Genomic DNA, 16014 nt, shown 5'->3' on the forward strand with positions numbered 1-16014 from the left:
CCTCCCTCTCCCCCAGCCTATAATCTAAGGACTCCACCTCTCCCCCTCACACACTATTACAGAGTTTGTTTGAGGAGTGTACAAGTGCCTTCTAGAAAGAGGCAGACTGGGTATTCGTTTACTCTAGTGCTATCATCCCTCCCCATTGGATGCATCTGAGGAAGGTGAATTACTTGGGGCTGCCTCTATATCTTAAAATCCTTCCACACGTCAGATAGAAAATCACTTTGCAATTATATTTTTACCAGGCACTTTAAGGCAAGGACAGTGTCCCCTTCATCTGAGACCCTCTGGTGCCTGGCACAGGGCATGGTGCTTAGTAGGTATTTAATAAATACTTGCTGAGTGCATGAATGAAAGAAATTCTAGGAAGGTTTGAGATATACCTAGACTAGTGTGGTGGATGTTTTATATCCTTTTTAAATCTACTTTCTACCCTATGAGAATGTTGAGCATATGAGAATTCAAGGGCAAAAAGAAAAAAGAATGAATTTACTGTGAAAGTCATCTAGTAAAGTTGAGTGCCTTTCTCAAAAAAAAAAAAAAAAAAGACTGACCAGTTCTTTTACTGGGGGACTTGAAAGCTTACAAAAGAGAAAGGAGGGTGGGAAAAAGGAGGGAAGGGAAAACACTTTCCCCACTATAGGGAGGGCTGGAACTGTGAACAAAAGCCCTATGATTCACCCAAGAATAGAAGCTTAAAGGACTCCAACTACATGCCAAGGCGCCAGAGGTCCTGCCAGCCTCAGCTCATGTGGGGCATTTGCCCTTTGATGCAGCCAAGAAAGGGATTTCAGCAGCAAATGGTGACCTTAGAACAGCTGTGCTGGAGGGCCAACGACCCCCTTAACCTCACCCTGACCCTAACTCCCTCCCCTCCTAAATGCTAAAGGGAGCAAATGAAAGAGTTAATGATTAGACTAGAAAAATCAAGACTGTGTTGTCCATAGAATTACTTATCAGAAAAAAATACGGAGGCAATTAAGGAAGAAATGTAAACTATACCTTGCTAGAGGTGGGAGAGAAGGGAGAACAGTAGTGGGAGGTAGGGATGACCAGTGAGCACAGAGATGATGGAGGCTTCTGCAATAGATGGCTCAGCACACACTCAGTGCCTGCCACGAGCAACGGCTTCTCTGGCCACCATTTAAAGGGAACCTGTTATTTCCACTTCATAGATGAGAAAGCTGAGGCTTTGGCAAAGCCGAGTGACAAGACCAAGGCTCCACTGCCAGACCAGAGCCAGAATTTTTAATTCTTTTAGACAGGATCTCACTTTGTTGCCAAGGCTAGATGCAATGGTGTGATTATGGCTCACTGCAGCCTTGATCTCCTGAGCTCAAGTGATCCTCCTACCTCAGCCTCCTGAGAAATAGCTGGGACTATAGGTGCATGCCACCATGCTCTGCTAATTTTTTTTGGGGGGGAGGTGGGGGTAAAGATAGGGTTTCACCTTGTTGCCCAGGTGGATCTCAAACTTCTGGACTCAAGTGATCCTCCTGCCTCAGACTCCTGAAGTGCCGGGATTACAGGCATGAACTGCTGTGCTCTTCCCAGAATCAGGATTTAATGCTAAGTGTGTCAGATGTCATTGCAAAGTGTAGTGAAGTGGAACTTAAGGAGGGAAGGAAACACTTTCTTTTATCTTTCTTGATGTTTCTCTTTCACTATTGCAATTGTAACAGCTTTCTCTGAGCTGTTAAGACTGCCTGTTCTCTTGGCATAGAACTAAAATAAAACTAAACATAAGCCAACCTGAATAATTAAATATTTATCGAATTTCTACTATGAGTTAGGAGTGTTACTCTGAGCTGGGGATACAAAGTGAGTAAAACACCGAGGTAGAGGGTTTTCATAAGATGGAGGTGAAATGCTTTAAGAAAGCAAGTATGGGAACATTAAGTCTTCTGATAGGAGGGGAATTAACTGAAGCTTCTGCAATAAGCTGTTATTTTGGAGGGCAAGATAGGGAACGGCATTTCAGACAGAAGGAACCGCATGCACAGAAGTGTGGAGTCTGACAGCTCCTGCATTTCAAGTGCAGGGATTCCTCCAGGCTGTTTGCTGGGGAGAAAGGAAAGGTCATAGTCAGCCTGCAAGATCTGCTGCCTTCATGTATGTGTGTTGCTTGGTTTTTGGAGTAGTGGTGTTTGTGGTGATTTTCATTTATTGTAGTAAAATATACATAACATCAAATTTACCACTTTAACCATTTTAAACGTAAAATTTACTGGCATTAACTACGTTCACAGTGTTGCACAACTATTACAACCATCTCCAGAATTTTTTTTAAATCATCCCAAACAGAAAATACATCCCCATTAAACAAGAACTCCCCATTCTCCACCCCACTCCTCCAGCTCCTGGTAACTTTCTGTTTCTCTGAATTTGCCTATTCTAGGCATTTTATGGAAGTGAAATCATTCATTCGTCATTTTTAGCTGGCTTGTTTCATTTAGCGTAAGGTTTTCAAGATGTATCTATGTTGTAGCGGGTATCGGAACTCTACTCCTTTTTGTGGCTGAAAACTCCTCCAGTGTATGCATATATCACATTGTGATCACCCACTCCTCTGTCATAGACACTGGGTTGTTTCCACTTTGGGGCTACTGTGAATAATGCTGCTATGAGCACTGGTCTACATGTATCTGTTCAAGTCCCTGCTTTCTATTCCTTTAGGTGTATACCCAGAAGTGGAAGAGCAGGGTCAAATGGTAACTTGACGTTTCATTTATTTGAGGAACTGCTAAGCTGTCTTCCACAGCAACTGCACCATTGTACATTCTCACCAACAGTGTACAAGGGTTCTGGTTTCTCGACATCCTCAGTAGCACTGACTGTTTTCTATTTTTCTTTTTACATAACACATTCTAATGGGTGTGAAGCACTATCTTATTGTGGTTTTGATTTGCATTTCTCTAATGATCAGTGATGCTGAATGTTATTTTCATGTGTTTATGGCCTGGTATGTATCTTTTTTGGAGAAACGTCTATTCAAGTCCTTTCCTCTTTTTTAAGTTGAGTTTTTCATTGTTGTTTTGTTGTTGAATATATAAGTTGTGACTACCAGGAGATCTAGTATTGGAACAAAATGTCACCACTAAAGGTGCAGGCTTATTTTTGTTTAAGTTTAATAAAACACAGCTCTGCCTTGCTGAGATGTGAGACTGAAAAAAATATTTAAATAATTTTTATTGTTGTTGTTCTTGTTCTTGTTCTTATACATTTTCCTGAATAAGTGACTCTTCTAGACTCCCCCATGGCCAAAAGTAATAAAACTCATAGCAGAAGTGGGAATGGCAAGCTAAATAACAACCCAGGAAAACCACTGCAAAATCGTCTGCAGATGTAAATCATACTTTGTGAAAGCCATTGGATTAGAAACACATTATCCTTGTCTGATTCGCTCACACCCACATGTTCCTAGTAAGCGTCGAGCGTGATTTACACCCTGACATTTAAGGAACTGGGAAAGGGTGATGCTGCGCGGCCTTGATAAATGCCTTTCTCTGTGTCTGTTACACCAGCCCAGGAGAGAATGGGGTAGACGTCTCCATCACTGAAATGGGGGGCCTGGGCCTTCTGCTTAAATGGCTTCTCTGCCCAGCCCTGACTCAATCAGGAAAAGCAAAGTAGCTGCTTGGCCCAATGACTATAGCCCAGGATTGGAAGATCAGAATTTCTGGCTTCAAATCCTCACCTGCCCGTGTCATTGAGGTGGGCTTAGAGCATCCCTTCTGTGAAATGGGGGCAGGAGTCGTGGCTACAGGATTGTTTTATGCTTCCTGTGAAATAAGGCAGGTTCTACATGCATAGTCAATCTGCCAGGAAATACAGTTGGAGAGATAGATGCTGCAGGAGGAAAGAAAGCTCACAACAAGGGGAGAAGAGGCTACAAGCAGCCACGCAGACATTGAAAAACAAACCGCAGGTTTTGTCCAGCAACAAAAGCCAATGATATCTAAGAACTAGAAGTGTATTTGCTGTGTTTTCCCATAGATTTGAAGCCCCCTGTCCCACGACACAGTCTTCCCCACCCAGGGAGGGATCCAGGGACGCGTGTATTTCTCCGTTCACCTCTCATTCCTTACTGGGCCTTGGCATTTCCAGGCAGTGCTGCTCCATAAACACTCATCCTAATGGCTCCTCTGGGGTCTGGAGGGGGGCGGTTAGCTGCATTCGTGAATTCAGCATTCAGTCCCTCATATCCTTCAATTCAAGTGAACAGCTGGCAGTAGATAGTGATAGCAAGGAAAGAAGCCATCACTTTGTTGGATGTTTCCCTGAATAATAAGTGAACTGCTTACGACATTTCTGAGAGCATCCAAACAGCCATCACCCAGCCACGGCCACGACCAGGCTACTCAGCAGGGGGAGCAGCCTCTCTAGAGTTTGAAACATGGGTGAAGTGGAAGCTCTCCTGATGCTCATGGATATGAACACTAAGACATCAGACCAGACACACATGCACACATGCATGCACACACATGCACACACACACACGCACCCCACACACTTTAGAATTAAGTTTTAGTTATTAGCTTGTGAAGCATCCCTGAATCTTGGTCCCCTCCTCTTTAAGATGGGGGTAACACCTTACCAACGATCTCCTGGTAACATTAAATAGGGCAGGATGTGAGACAGTCTCTGGTACATCATAGGTTTTCAAAAATGTTTAGTCCTTTAGCTCCTCACCCAACATAAAAGAAAATCTTGCGCTTGTTCCTTTGCCCAGATAACAAACCTTATTCTGATATTTTGGGGACAGCACAGGACTGGAAGAAAAAAAGAAACTTTTCTAACCGTCACATTGATTTCCCTTTTGGGCACACAGAGCCATTACTGAAAAGTCACTTGCTGAAGTGGTTGTACTGTGGCCTCTTCAGGAAGGGGGATGTGCTAAGGCCAAGCCAGGCTGCTGGAGTGCCTGGAGCACAAAGCCCTTCTGAGCATGCTGAGCCCTTGATGACTGGCGTGGACTCGGCCCCCACTCCCTGCACAATCATGCAGCACAAATCCCTGTATTTTCAATGGAAGGAGCCGCTCCAGTGGCGCTGAAGAAAGATGGAAAAAATCCTTTTCTTGCAGGCAGGTTTGCTCTGCAACCACCACTGAAGGTGTTTTAAAATTCACCTTGAGTTTGCCTCTCAGGTCCTTGATGCTGCTCGCGGAGGGAAGGTAGACGAAGGAGGCTCGTTCGTCTGCGTGCCATTGTGTCTAGGGTGGTCCCGGGGACAGGTGTTAGCTCTCTGGGACAGCCAAAGGACGATGGGCCCTCAGCAGAAGGAGGACTTAATTAATCGGTGCATTGATTGCCTACTGTGAGTCAGGTGCTGTGCTAGTGGAGGCAGGGGAACAAGGCACTATCTTGTCTTCCGGCATCTTAAATTCTAGCCAAGGGTGTAAACAGTTATATGGCAATAAAAGAAATAAATAACAACTCAAATCAATAATATGGGAAATGTCACACTATACTCTGGTCCATGATTGAAACGGAGAGGACATTAGGGGCTATGGGAAGAGATCAGTTATTAGCTGCTTCCTGCAGGCCTCTGACCATAAAACAAGCAAATATTTCTAAGGACCCCTATGCTCATCGCCTCGTCTGATGCTATTTTGAAATTCTTGTCAGTCTGTTAACTGCTATACAAATGGCATAAAGGTTCTTATGAGAATCCCTGTCCCCTCCCATTCCAGGTGCACAGGCTTCACACTTAAGTCCTCAAAGGAAAGAAGGCAAACATTGCAATTACCCCAAGAGGAGCTTAGCATGCCACATGCTCTGTGTGTATCTCCCTTGGAACAGTTATCACAGAGCCTTGATTCTCACCTGCCTCCCTCATGGGACCACAGACTATTCAAAGAAAGGGCCTGGTCGAATCTGCTTCTGTAGCTTCTCCTTGGCCACCGCTTGGGATAATGACTGACACATAGAAACCACGCCGAAAACATGGTTGAACGAGTGCTTATAGAATGCTACTGACTTACTGTGTTGCCACTGGCATATAGGTCTGATATCCGTGGAAGAACTGCTAAGAGTGGACAATGTTTTGCCAGAAAGAATGAATGCTTCCTTGTCAAAAAGCCAGTATTGTAACAGAGGTGTGGGTTGGGTGGTTGGGTAGTAGCACTCACCTTATTTCCACTTTTCCTCAATAGAATAACTTGCGGGGTGGGGTCTGTGTTTAACCGTATCTTCCCTAAGGCAGTTCCAATAGGCAAATGGGTACTTGCACCCCAACAGCCATAGGAGGAGGGTTCTTGTTCTTGTTCAGGTTGGGCAGAAGAGATGGGCAGGGGTACAAGGTGGTAAAGTGCAAGGTACTTGTACCCCTAAAATTTCCCAAGCCTGCTATGTGAATGCTGTCCAGCCCTGATGGCAAATCAGAAAAGTGGATGCCCAGGAGAGAGCAAACCAATGGCACATGAGCAGACAGCACCAACAATGAGCGATTATTTGTGGAGCACGCATTACATTTACTCAGCATCACCCTGGTTACTGGGGGACATGCACATAGAGTATGGAGCCCACAGGTAGTAAGTGCTTTATTAGAGTTTGTTAAGTAAACATGTAATTACATAGAAGATAAACTAAAGTTTTTATTATTTTTATATGAAAGTTATCAAACATACAGAAAAGATGAAAGATTTTTACAGTTAAGACCCATAAACCCATCACTAGATTCTACAATTAACACTTAATTTAATTCTCTTTATCAGAAATTTACCTGCTACTCATCCATCAATCTGACACTTTTGATTGTATAAAGGTAGATTCTACTTGAGGAAACATGATGTATACGCATGAAACAATTACTCAGTATTTTCTAGGACAACGCTAAATAGTGAGACAGAGGCACACGTCTGGATGGAGTTAAGAAGGTGATCATCCGTGAGGAATAATATGTTCAGAGACTGTGTCATGGAGGGAAGTGGGCCTGGAAGAATGTACAAGATTTGCGTAGGAAAAGGGAGAAAGGGTGGTCTTTAGGTGTGCGGAGTCATATAAATAATGCCCGGGGGGACCCAGCCCAGAGGAAAGGTGAGTGGCATCCCTCTGCCCAGTGTTACACCTGGCTTCCAGCCAGCCTGAGGCTGTTCTGGTGCCCGTGAACTCAGACCACCCTCATCATCCTAAACATCACCGACCTGGGGGATGAAAGCTCAGTATGAATACCTCCGAGGCACTGCAGACCTTGAGGGAGCTGGGTGCCTCTCTTGCTGAGTGACTCATAGTAGGCATTCAAGAGAAAGGTCCACAGGGATGAGCTTCTTCATCTAGAGTGAAGTTTAAAAAAAAAAAAAAAACAATTGAGTTGGATATGTGTGAAACATGGGAAATTGAAAAACAAAAAGGAAATGAGTGAATTTGAGGCCCCATCTTGACAACCCCTGATAAAGACCAGAGAGCTTGTCTGCCTGTCTCCCAAGCAGGGGCAGTAACATAGACCTGACTGAAAGCAACACGTGAGCCTGAGGAAGAGCTGCCACCTTCCGGTGGGGCACCCACAATAGACAGCTGCGCAGGGTATAAGCAACTTGTGCGTCCGGGGCTGACAGAGCCGCTAAACAACCACACCTCCTCCCAGGTGCCATCTTGGGAAGAGGCTTCTGAAGATCAGCTTCAAAAGGCTCTTATTACTTAAGGTCCTTCCTGGGACATTTGCTGGTAATGGGAGTCAGATGCAATCCTCGCTTGTGCTTAAAAGGCAGACAAGATGGTGCAGAGCAATTACTGAGTATGTCTGCACAATTTTGAAAACCAGCTACCTGTCCCTTGGCAGGAGAGGCTTTGGCTGCCTGCAGCTGGAATGCTCTACCTTGCCTTTGTTTTTCTCTTTTCTTCCGCTGTCTCCCGGCACTGCCCTCCCAATTCACCTGCATTGTTTCTACCTCCTTCCAGTCACTGCACTAAGCATGGATTCCATCTGTTCGGGGCTCCCTGGAGAAGGAACACACACCTTCACTCTGCAGTAGTCACCCAGTGCTGCGCTGGTCAGCACACAAGCAGGGGACCCTGTACTGACAGAACAAAGGACAGCTGTCCTGTGAGTGGTCCAGCCATGCTCGGGCCGGGAGGAATTCATGCAGCACACAAGAGGGATAAGCACATTCATTTTGTGACGCAGCCTCTGTGTACTTTGTCAGCAAAATGGAGAACACTCACTATTTTCTCTGGCTTTTAGGATTTCCATATTTATTGCTTGTTTGCTACCACTGGGGAGAAGGGAAGAGGAGAAAACAACAACTTTCTTCATTTGAAATTTTAAAACATGAACATGTGAGGTTTACCCTCCCTCCCCTGTTCCCCTGCAATTCCAGCAATGCACAGGACTGTAGAATGTTACAGCTGGAAGCCCTTGAGAAATCTAAACAATAGTGCCTCATTTTACACGCGAGAAAATCACGGACAGGAGGTGAAGGGGCATGGTCAAAGTCACATACCTAGTTAGTGGCAGCCCTGAGACTAGCATTGGTGTCTGCAGAATCTTATTTTTCTTATTGCTGTGCTATGTGGGTTCTGTTTCTATTCAAGTCAAGAATCCTACCACGTGTAGGAGATCCTACTCTGTATATGGTACTGTGCAAGACGCTATCCACTACCTGCTTTAATCCTGCCAGTGCCCCGCTGGGGTAGGATTTACTTCCATCGGTTCAGTTGTTATAGTTAGTGCCTGATCACGGGGCTGGAGGAGCTCTGGAGCAGAGCTCAGGCAAAGGCTGTTGGTTCTCTCTGGACTGTCCTGTCCTGTAAAGGTGGACATACAGGATAAACACGAAGCAGTAAGGAGCAAAGTGCCTGGCTGGCAGGAACACACTAGTTGTTTGTTAAAGGGCAAGGTGGGAATGATGTTGGTCAATGGGTACAAAATTTCAGCTAGAGGGAATAAGTTTTTGAGCTCTATTGTACAGCATGGGGACTACAGTTAATAATGTGTTGCACATTTCAAAATTGCTAAGAGAGTAAATTTCAAATGTTCTCACCATAAAAATAAGTATGTGAAGGGATTGGGCATGTTAACTTAGCTTTTTTTTTTTTTTTTTTTTAATTTTTTTGAGAAAAGGTCTTGCTCTGTTTCCCAGGCTGGAGTGCAGTGATGTAATCACAGCTCACCGCAGTCTCTACCTCCCAGTATCAAGCAATCCTCCCACCTCAGCCTCCTTAGTAGCTGGGACTTCAAGCGCATGCCACCATACCCAGCTAATTTTTGTTTGTTTGTTTGTTTTTGCAGAGATGACGTTCTACAATGTTGCTCAGGTTGGTCTTGCACTCCTGGGCTCAAGCAATCCTCCTGCCTCAGCTTCCCAAAGTGGTAGGATTACAGGCATAAGCCAAAAAGCCAATCCATCAAGGAGCCAGGAAGGCTTTGCAGAAGTTCCTTCTGGAAGAATTTCAGCCAATAGCCAATATTGAAGGAATTAGAGGGAAGGTATTTCAGGCAGAATGGAGAGGAAGAATCAGGATGTGTTCAGGGAAGAGCATGTAGGCGAATGTGAATGGGGATGAACGCTTGTGCACCAATAGAGAAAAGTGGGGCTGGAAAGGGGTTCAGTAATTTATGGGATGATATTAATTGGGGCCCATCATGTTTGGGGCACTCTTGTAGGCCTGTGACTTAGCAGACAAGGATGGGAAGCACCTACTCACACACAGATAGTGCCGTGATGGCCAGGGCCTGAGAGCCTAATTCCATGGGACCATTTGAGGTAAGACCTGAATGACAAGAAGAAGTGGGCTCTGAGAATAATCAGGGCCAGAGAGCTCTCCAGGCAAAGAAAAGGAAAGCAAAGGGCTTTGAGGCAAGAACTAGAGACCCTGTGGAATGAATAGAGGTGGACTTACCAGCAGGAGAGGAGCTGGGGCATGGGAGTGGAGGTGAGACCAGGCAGAGCCTGCAGTGCACTGCAGGAGGTTGAACTCTATCTGAGCTACTAGGAGAATGAGAGGCCCTATGTTATCTGGCCTCTGCCTCTATCCTGGACCTCATCTCCATGGGAAAAACTCATCTCTGTTTGTGCCCAAGACTCTTCCAGTTTTAGCACTGAAAGTCTCAAATCCAAGGAACACACGAAGTTCCAGGCAGGCGGGCAGTTGGTCACCTTAGCTCCCACCTCATCCTTGCTCACTACGGTCCTGTCACAACAATGTGGGAACATGCTGTGGAGTCCCTTAAAAAGCTCTGGCTGATTCATTAGAAAATGCATAGCAACTCAACATTTCTGAAAACAGGACTAACATAATTAAAGCTATTTAAGCTTGTTTTTTTTTTTTTTTTTTTTTTTTTTTTGAGACGGAGTCTCCCTCTGTTGCCCAGGAAGGAGTGCAGTGGCATAATCTTGGCTCACTGCAACATCCGCCTCCTCAGTTCAACTGATTCTCCTGCCTCAACCTCCCAAGTAGCTGGGACTACAGGCGCATGCCACCATGGCCAGCTAGTTGTTTTGTATTCTTAGTAGAGATGGGGTTTCACCGTATCAGCCAGGCTGGTCTCAAACTCCTGACCTCATGATTCATCTGCCTCGGCCTCCTAAAGTATTGGGATTACAGGTGTGAGCCACCATGGCCAGCCAGCTATTTAAGCATTTTTTAAAGATACTGACGACCTCCAAGGCCATTCAACTTACATAAAAATGCCTTTCTGTGGAAATTTGGGCATTCCTTTGGCTATGGAGAGGGTAGTAGGTCAATTGGCATGGCTGAATATAAAAAAGATCTTCTCCGTCCAGATGTTTCTGTTCACATCCTCTTGTGCAGCATAGTTTGGAATATTTCATCTTCATTCTTCAAGACTTAAAGGTGTATCACTACAGTAAACAGAACTTAAAGGAACAGGCCTTTGCATGGCAGCCCAGCTGAATCTGCACAAGGCCCTTATCTAAAGCCAGTTGTGAGAGAAATACAGTAGCCTCTGTGCTCATTACCTCTAGAATTGCATTTTCTAGCTTCTCATTAGGAAGCGGTGACATCAGAATAGGACCCTGCCCCTTTAAGAGTCTTTCCCAAGATAATGGGATTCATGATCTCACAATCACATAAATCACTGCCAGCCCCCTTGAGTCAATTCATACTTCTGTAGTTCGTTAGTGGCACGAGAGGAAATTGCATTTATTATAATTGCCTCTAATTGCACCAGATTAGTGATTACAATTATTGATGGCAGCTGATTATTCATTAGGCATCAAATCAATCCCCGTGCTTCTTCATTACTCGAAACAGTAACTCTGATGAGAGGTCTAAAGGAGGCCATGTCCACCCTTTCCACTAAATGGCAGGCTGCCTCCCCGTCCTGCCTCGAAACAAACACCTGAAAATAATTTAGGACTTAAAGTGACAGAGAACCATCCCTCGCCTTCCGCCATGTAATGCCTCATCCCGAACCCAGCACTAACTGATGAAATTACGGAGGCTGTTAAACATCACCAAAGACTATTTGGAGGTCCCAGAACGCTCCAGAATTGCTAGCTTTTCCTGGATGCCCTTCTTGGTTGCAAAATGAAAATTTCAGAGTTTCCTGGGTTACTTCTGGAATATATGTTACCTACAATACATAAAGAGAGTAGACCTTACAGCCACACAGGCCAGACTTAAATGAGCTATGTAAACCTAGTCGATTTTGTGAGCTATGTAAAGTCAGTCAATTTTGTGAGCTATGTAAAGCCAGTCAATTCGTGTGTGAATTTTTGGGAGCTATGTAAAGCCAGTCAATTCACGTGTCCTGTCTGAACTGTAGAATAGTTGCTAGATTGTGTATAAACAAGCAATGAGATCTCTGCTTCTCTTGTTCACCATCAGAGTCTATCATCTAAAATAGGGCCTGTAGAGAAAAGAATACAATAGCCATCTAAGGAGTTAAATACCTACCTGCAGGGGTTGTGATGATGGCTGAATTAGATAACATATTTAAGACTTTGTGTTGTACCAGGTAAAAACTAGTTGCTCAATTAGCGTCATTTCCTCTCTCCCCTACTTCCTCCATGCTATAACATCTAAATTTATATCCTTTATCCAGTGTGTCTCTTTATACACAGGCTCAATGTTAACTAAATTTATCTTTTTGGTGTGTTCTTCTTGGTGAACATCAGTATATGTGTAATAGAAGTGCAGCTTCCAGAAGACTGTTGCCTCATTTACTGGTAGCTACAGCATGCCAGGCACCAGATCTAGAGGGTTAGAGAGATCAACAGAGCATAAGTATTGACCTTGAACAGCTGACAACTAAATGGGAATGATTGTCCATTCTATTTCCATGTGTTGTTTGCATTAAAGGAATATCCAAGTTCTAATGAGCCCACAGGGGATGGAGAGACCCGGCACAGCTCGGAAGGTCAAGAAGGCCTCAGAGTTAGCTTTTGAGATGAGCCTTGAAGCTGCATAAATTTTTCCAAGTGCCTAACAGGTCACTAGCCTTCCAACACACCATGTAGCACCTGAAGAGACAAGAAGAGAGAAATGAGCATGTCTTCAGAACTGCACTGTGAACTTCTAGGTGCTTGATACATGAAGACAGTGACAATGTTAAGTGCCATTTTCCAGACGCTCCCATGGGTAAAACTTCTGTAACTAAGCAATCTTTTCTTCTCTTAGCTGCTGACATCTCAGAAATGTGGCGACATCTTGAGGTTTTCTTCTATGAACTTCTGTGAAACCTTATGCTGCCTTTGGTGACACAGAACCCTAACCTATCCTTTCCTCAAATTCCCAGCTGACCCAAATGTACCCCCTATTTTAGCACCCACATTTATCAGCTCCCTCTACTTCTCACAATCCCCCCTACTTCCACTAGTGAGTTAGTTCAAGAGCCTAAGTGTCTCCAGGTAGCAGAGACATTCAGAGCACACCATTGTCTATATCAATGCAGGATTTCCTGAAAACCAGGGAGGGAGGGAAGGAAGAAAGAGCCTCTGGGTGAGGAGGTGTGCAGCCTGGCTCTTTGTCAAGTCTTTGTCCCACGTGAGAGTCGGTGCTAATTTCCCTGGTTGCTTAGGCTTGAGCCCTGTAGTATGTCTGACCTACACCCAGATCCTCTAGGGATGTAAGCACAGTGATTCCCAAAACAATCCAAAATACGAGGCCCATAGCCTGGAGAACATGTCCCTGGTGCCCCTTCCTCTGGACGCCTTCCTTGCCCACATGGTTGCCAGTTACGCTGCCTCCCAGGGAGCTGAGGATGAACACGTGACTTCTCTTAGCAGAGTGAACGTATCTCCTACCTTAAGTCTCTTGTGTGTCCTACTTGTGAGCCAGTTGAAACGCTGCCATTTTCTCCAGAGACTCCTCTCTACATCAAGACCATGTAACCATGCAGGAAGAAATCAATCTTCTTTTCTAGCTAACATGTTCCATTACCTCCCCTGTTTTCAAAACTTCCCATAAAGTGGCAGTCTCCTCTCTGAAGGCTACTCTTTTAGACAGGAAATACGCAGGGATAGCATCACTTCCAGAGAAACAAGAGAACAGACTGATAGATCAGAACACCAGATAATGTCTTCCCTTTCTTGGCAACGGTACATATCCCTAACCTCTTTCCCAAGACCCACAGAAGAGCAGGGTCTCTCCTGAAGGGCAACAGGACACTGATCCACTGTCTTGTAAAGGAAGTTGTGTTCAGTGATTTTCTGATTAGGGAGAAAGTTGCTACAACCAGCACCAGAGGAAAGCTGTCTGGTGATCAAAGACCTTGGGGGTTTGCCTGGGCTACTTTTGGAGGCTGCCCAAAGCCTGCTAGCAGCTCCCACATGAGCTGGGGAGAGGCTCTGCTTCCCTCTACTCCAGCACAGCTTCCCCTAATTCTGAACTTTCAGAGAAGCACAGGTTCGAGCGCTCTCCCTTGCCCAGTCCTTCATCAGCTGGTGCCCGTAGCCCTGCATCATCCTGGTAACAGTTGGTAAACGAGTCCCAGTCTAGCCGCTTATGCAGGATGGTTGTGCAGTAAGAACCTTCATCCTTATGGCAGGCACATTAATGCCAAGTTTGCTCATTCTAATTAATAACAGTTAGTAAACACCAAAGAGAGCTAATGATGATTACAGGCCACAGCTCCTGCGTGTTAGCAAACACACCAGGCAGGTGGCCTCTCGTCTCTTCCCAGGAAAGAGGCTAGGTCCTCTTCTTGCAGAGATGTCTTGCCTCCTCAAGGCCCCTACCACCATATTTAGCAAATCTTGGGTTACTTCTCAGCCTGGAAAAGACCAAGATGCATGCAGGTCAGTCCCATGGAATGGATCATGGGCTGACTTCAAGATTAGAGGACTAAAGAAGCAGGACCTTTGATCTTTTAGGGTTTCCAGACATCTCTTTCTGGCACTTGGAATAAAACAAATTTTTCTTATTTAAAAAATATTTTTTCCAATTTCAAAGTAATACAATTTGCTTCAAAAAATTAAAATACTACAGAAGCATATAAGAAGAAAGGGTGAGTCTCCCTTCGTCCTCTGGGGAAGTGGGATTCAGTGCCTGGTTCGTTTGTCTACAGTTCTCATCTCCCCTACCTCCTCTTCTTTCTCCAGCTCATATTTCTATTCCTGGTACACAAAGCTTCCCATTCTACTACCAAATTATCCCTGTTGTGAATCCTTTATTCCCCATTTGGCTAAGCCTTTACTCATCCTCTATCCCTAGATATTTTTTTTTTCTGACTCAAGGATTCTGCCTATGGTAATATTTTCTGTGACCCTGAAGGCAAAATGAGAGTTCAACTCCATGGTGGCACTAGGATATCTCATCTTGGAATGTTTTCTTCTCTGAGTTCCAGGGGTTGTGGCAGTTAAACATAATTACATCCACTTCCCGTCATTCAGATATGAACCTAAAGTTGGAGAATGTTTTATTTCCTGCTCCGCAGCCCTGGGCATACAAGGACCTGTGAAGAGTGGACGTGTGAGTCTGACAGAGCCTCCTGGGGGCGCCGCTTGCTCTATGTTTTGAGCCCTCCAGGCGAATCTCTGGTCATCGAATCAGATAACTTGATAGCAGTGGGTGGAGGTGGTTTGAGGAATAGGACAGGCCACGGTGGTTTCAGAATCTTACCAATAGCTTGATCATTTTCGGAAGGACCCCAGACCCCTCTCAATCTGTCATTATTTTTGTTGTTCTTGTTAATCCCATCCTTCTTTTTACGAAAATTTAGCCCACGGGGCTGCAAGGGTAATATGTCTTCTATCACTGTCACTGCAATTCAGGTAATATTTTCTTTCTCGCTGGACTATTAACTGTATCCCACTGGAACCCATTCTCTGAGAGTTTAAGAATGAAAAGAATGTAAATAAACAGTGAAAATGGGTATCATTTCTAAGGATGTTTATAAAGTGATCCAAGCAGATACTCAGGTATAACCAGAATGGCTTATCTTACCATCTTTTTAAATGCATGATACCTTTTCCCTCTGTTTCTTTGTCTTTTTCTTTTTCTTTTTTCTTGAGTCTGTCTCCTTTTCTGTGTATTAGCTTTTCCTCCATTTTTTTCTCCTTGATGACTTTTTTTCTCTCAGCTTTCTCATTCTCTTTCCTTTCCTTTTAGTCACAATAAAGAATTGAAGGGCATTTTCAAGTTTGGTTTGGTTCATTAAATGCATACATCCAGATGTATGGATTTATTCATCCATACATCTATCCATCCACCCATTTATTCCACCAGCATTCACTGAGCATCAGTCTTCTTGACATCAGTCTCTTTGCTAGGTTCTCAGAATAGAGAGCTGAACAGTTGATCCCTGCTCTCAAGCCATACTGAATCAACAAAGGGAGAGAGACATGAAATCAAAGAAACTATTAAATCCATGAAGGACACAATGGGAGTTTTAAGAAGGTGATGAGCAGGTCTATGGGGACATATTAGCGAAACTTCCTAAAGCAAGTGACCTTTGGGCTAAATATGAAACTGAGTTGAAGGTGTCGTCAAGTAGAGGAGGGGCAGGGGCCTGGGGAGAAGATAGATTTTTCGGCAGAGGGACCTGCAGTGCCTTCATGCAAAGAACATTTGAATATCCGAGCATTATCTAACCTGGCTGGGAGGGT

At 44.6% G+C, this 16014-nt stretch overlaps 1 protein-coding gene and 1 long non-coding RNA gene across 22 annotated transcripts in view; one reads left to right on the forward strand and one right to left on the reverse strand.

The window, feature by feature from the left end:
• NTM (neurotrimin) overlaps positions 1 to 16014 on the forward strand; it is a 966208-nt gene that overhangs the window by 159279 nt on the left and 790915 nt on the right. The window lies entirely within an intron of this gene.
• NTM-AS2 (NTM antisense RNA 2) lies at positions 3964 to 10974 on the reverse strand. The gene is made up of 8 exons (NR_110140.1): positions 10924 to 10974; positions 10627 to 10806; positions 9650 to 9715; positions 9199 to 9383; positions 7511 to 8749; positions 7178 to 7278; positions 6729 to 6938; positions 3964 to 6266 (listed from the first exon to the last, which is right to left on the reverse strand). It is a non-coding gene; the product is annotated as an NTM antisense RNA 2 (long non-coding RNA).

The sequence above is a fragment of the Homo sapiens genome, chromosome 11 (assembly GCF_000001405.40).
Source record: "Homo sapiens chromosome 11, GRCh38.p14 Primary Assembly".
NCBI lineage: Eukaryota > Metazoa > Chordata > Mammalia > Primates > Hominidae > Homo > Homo sapiens.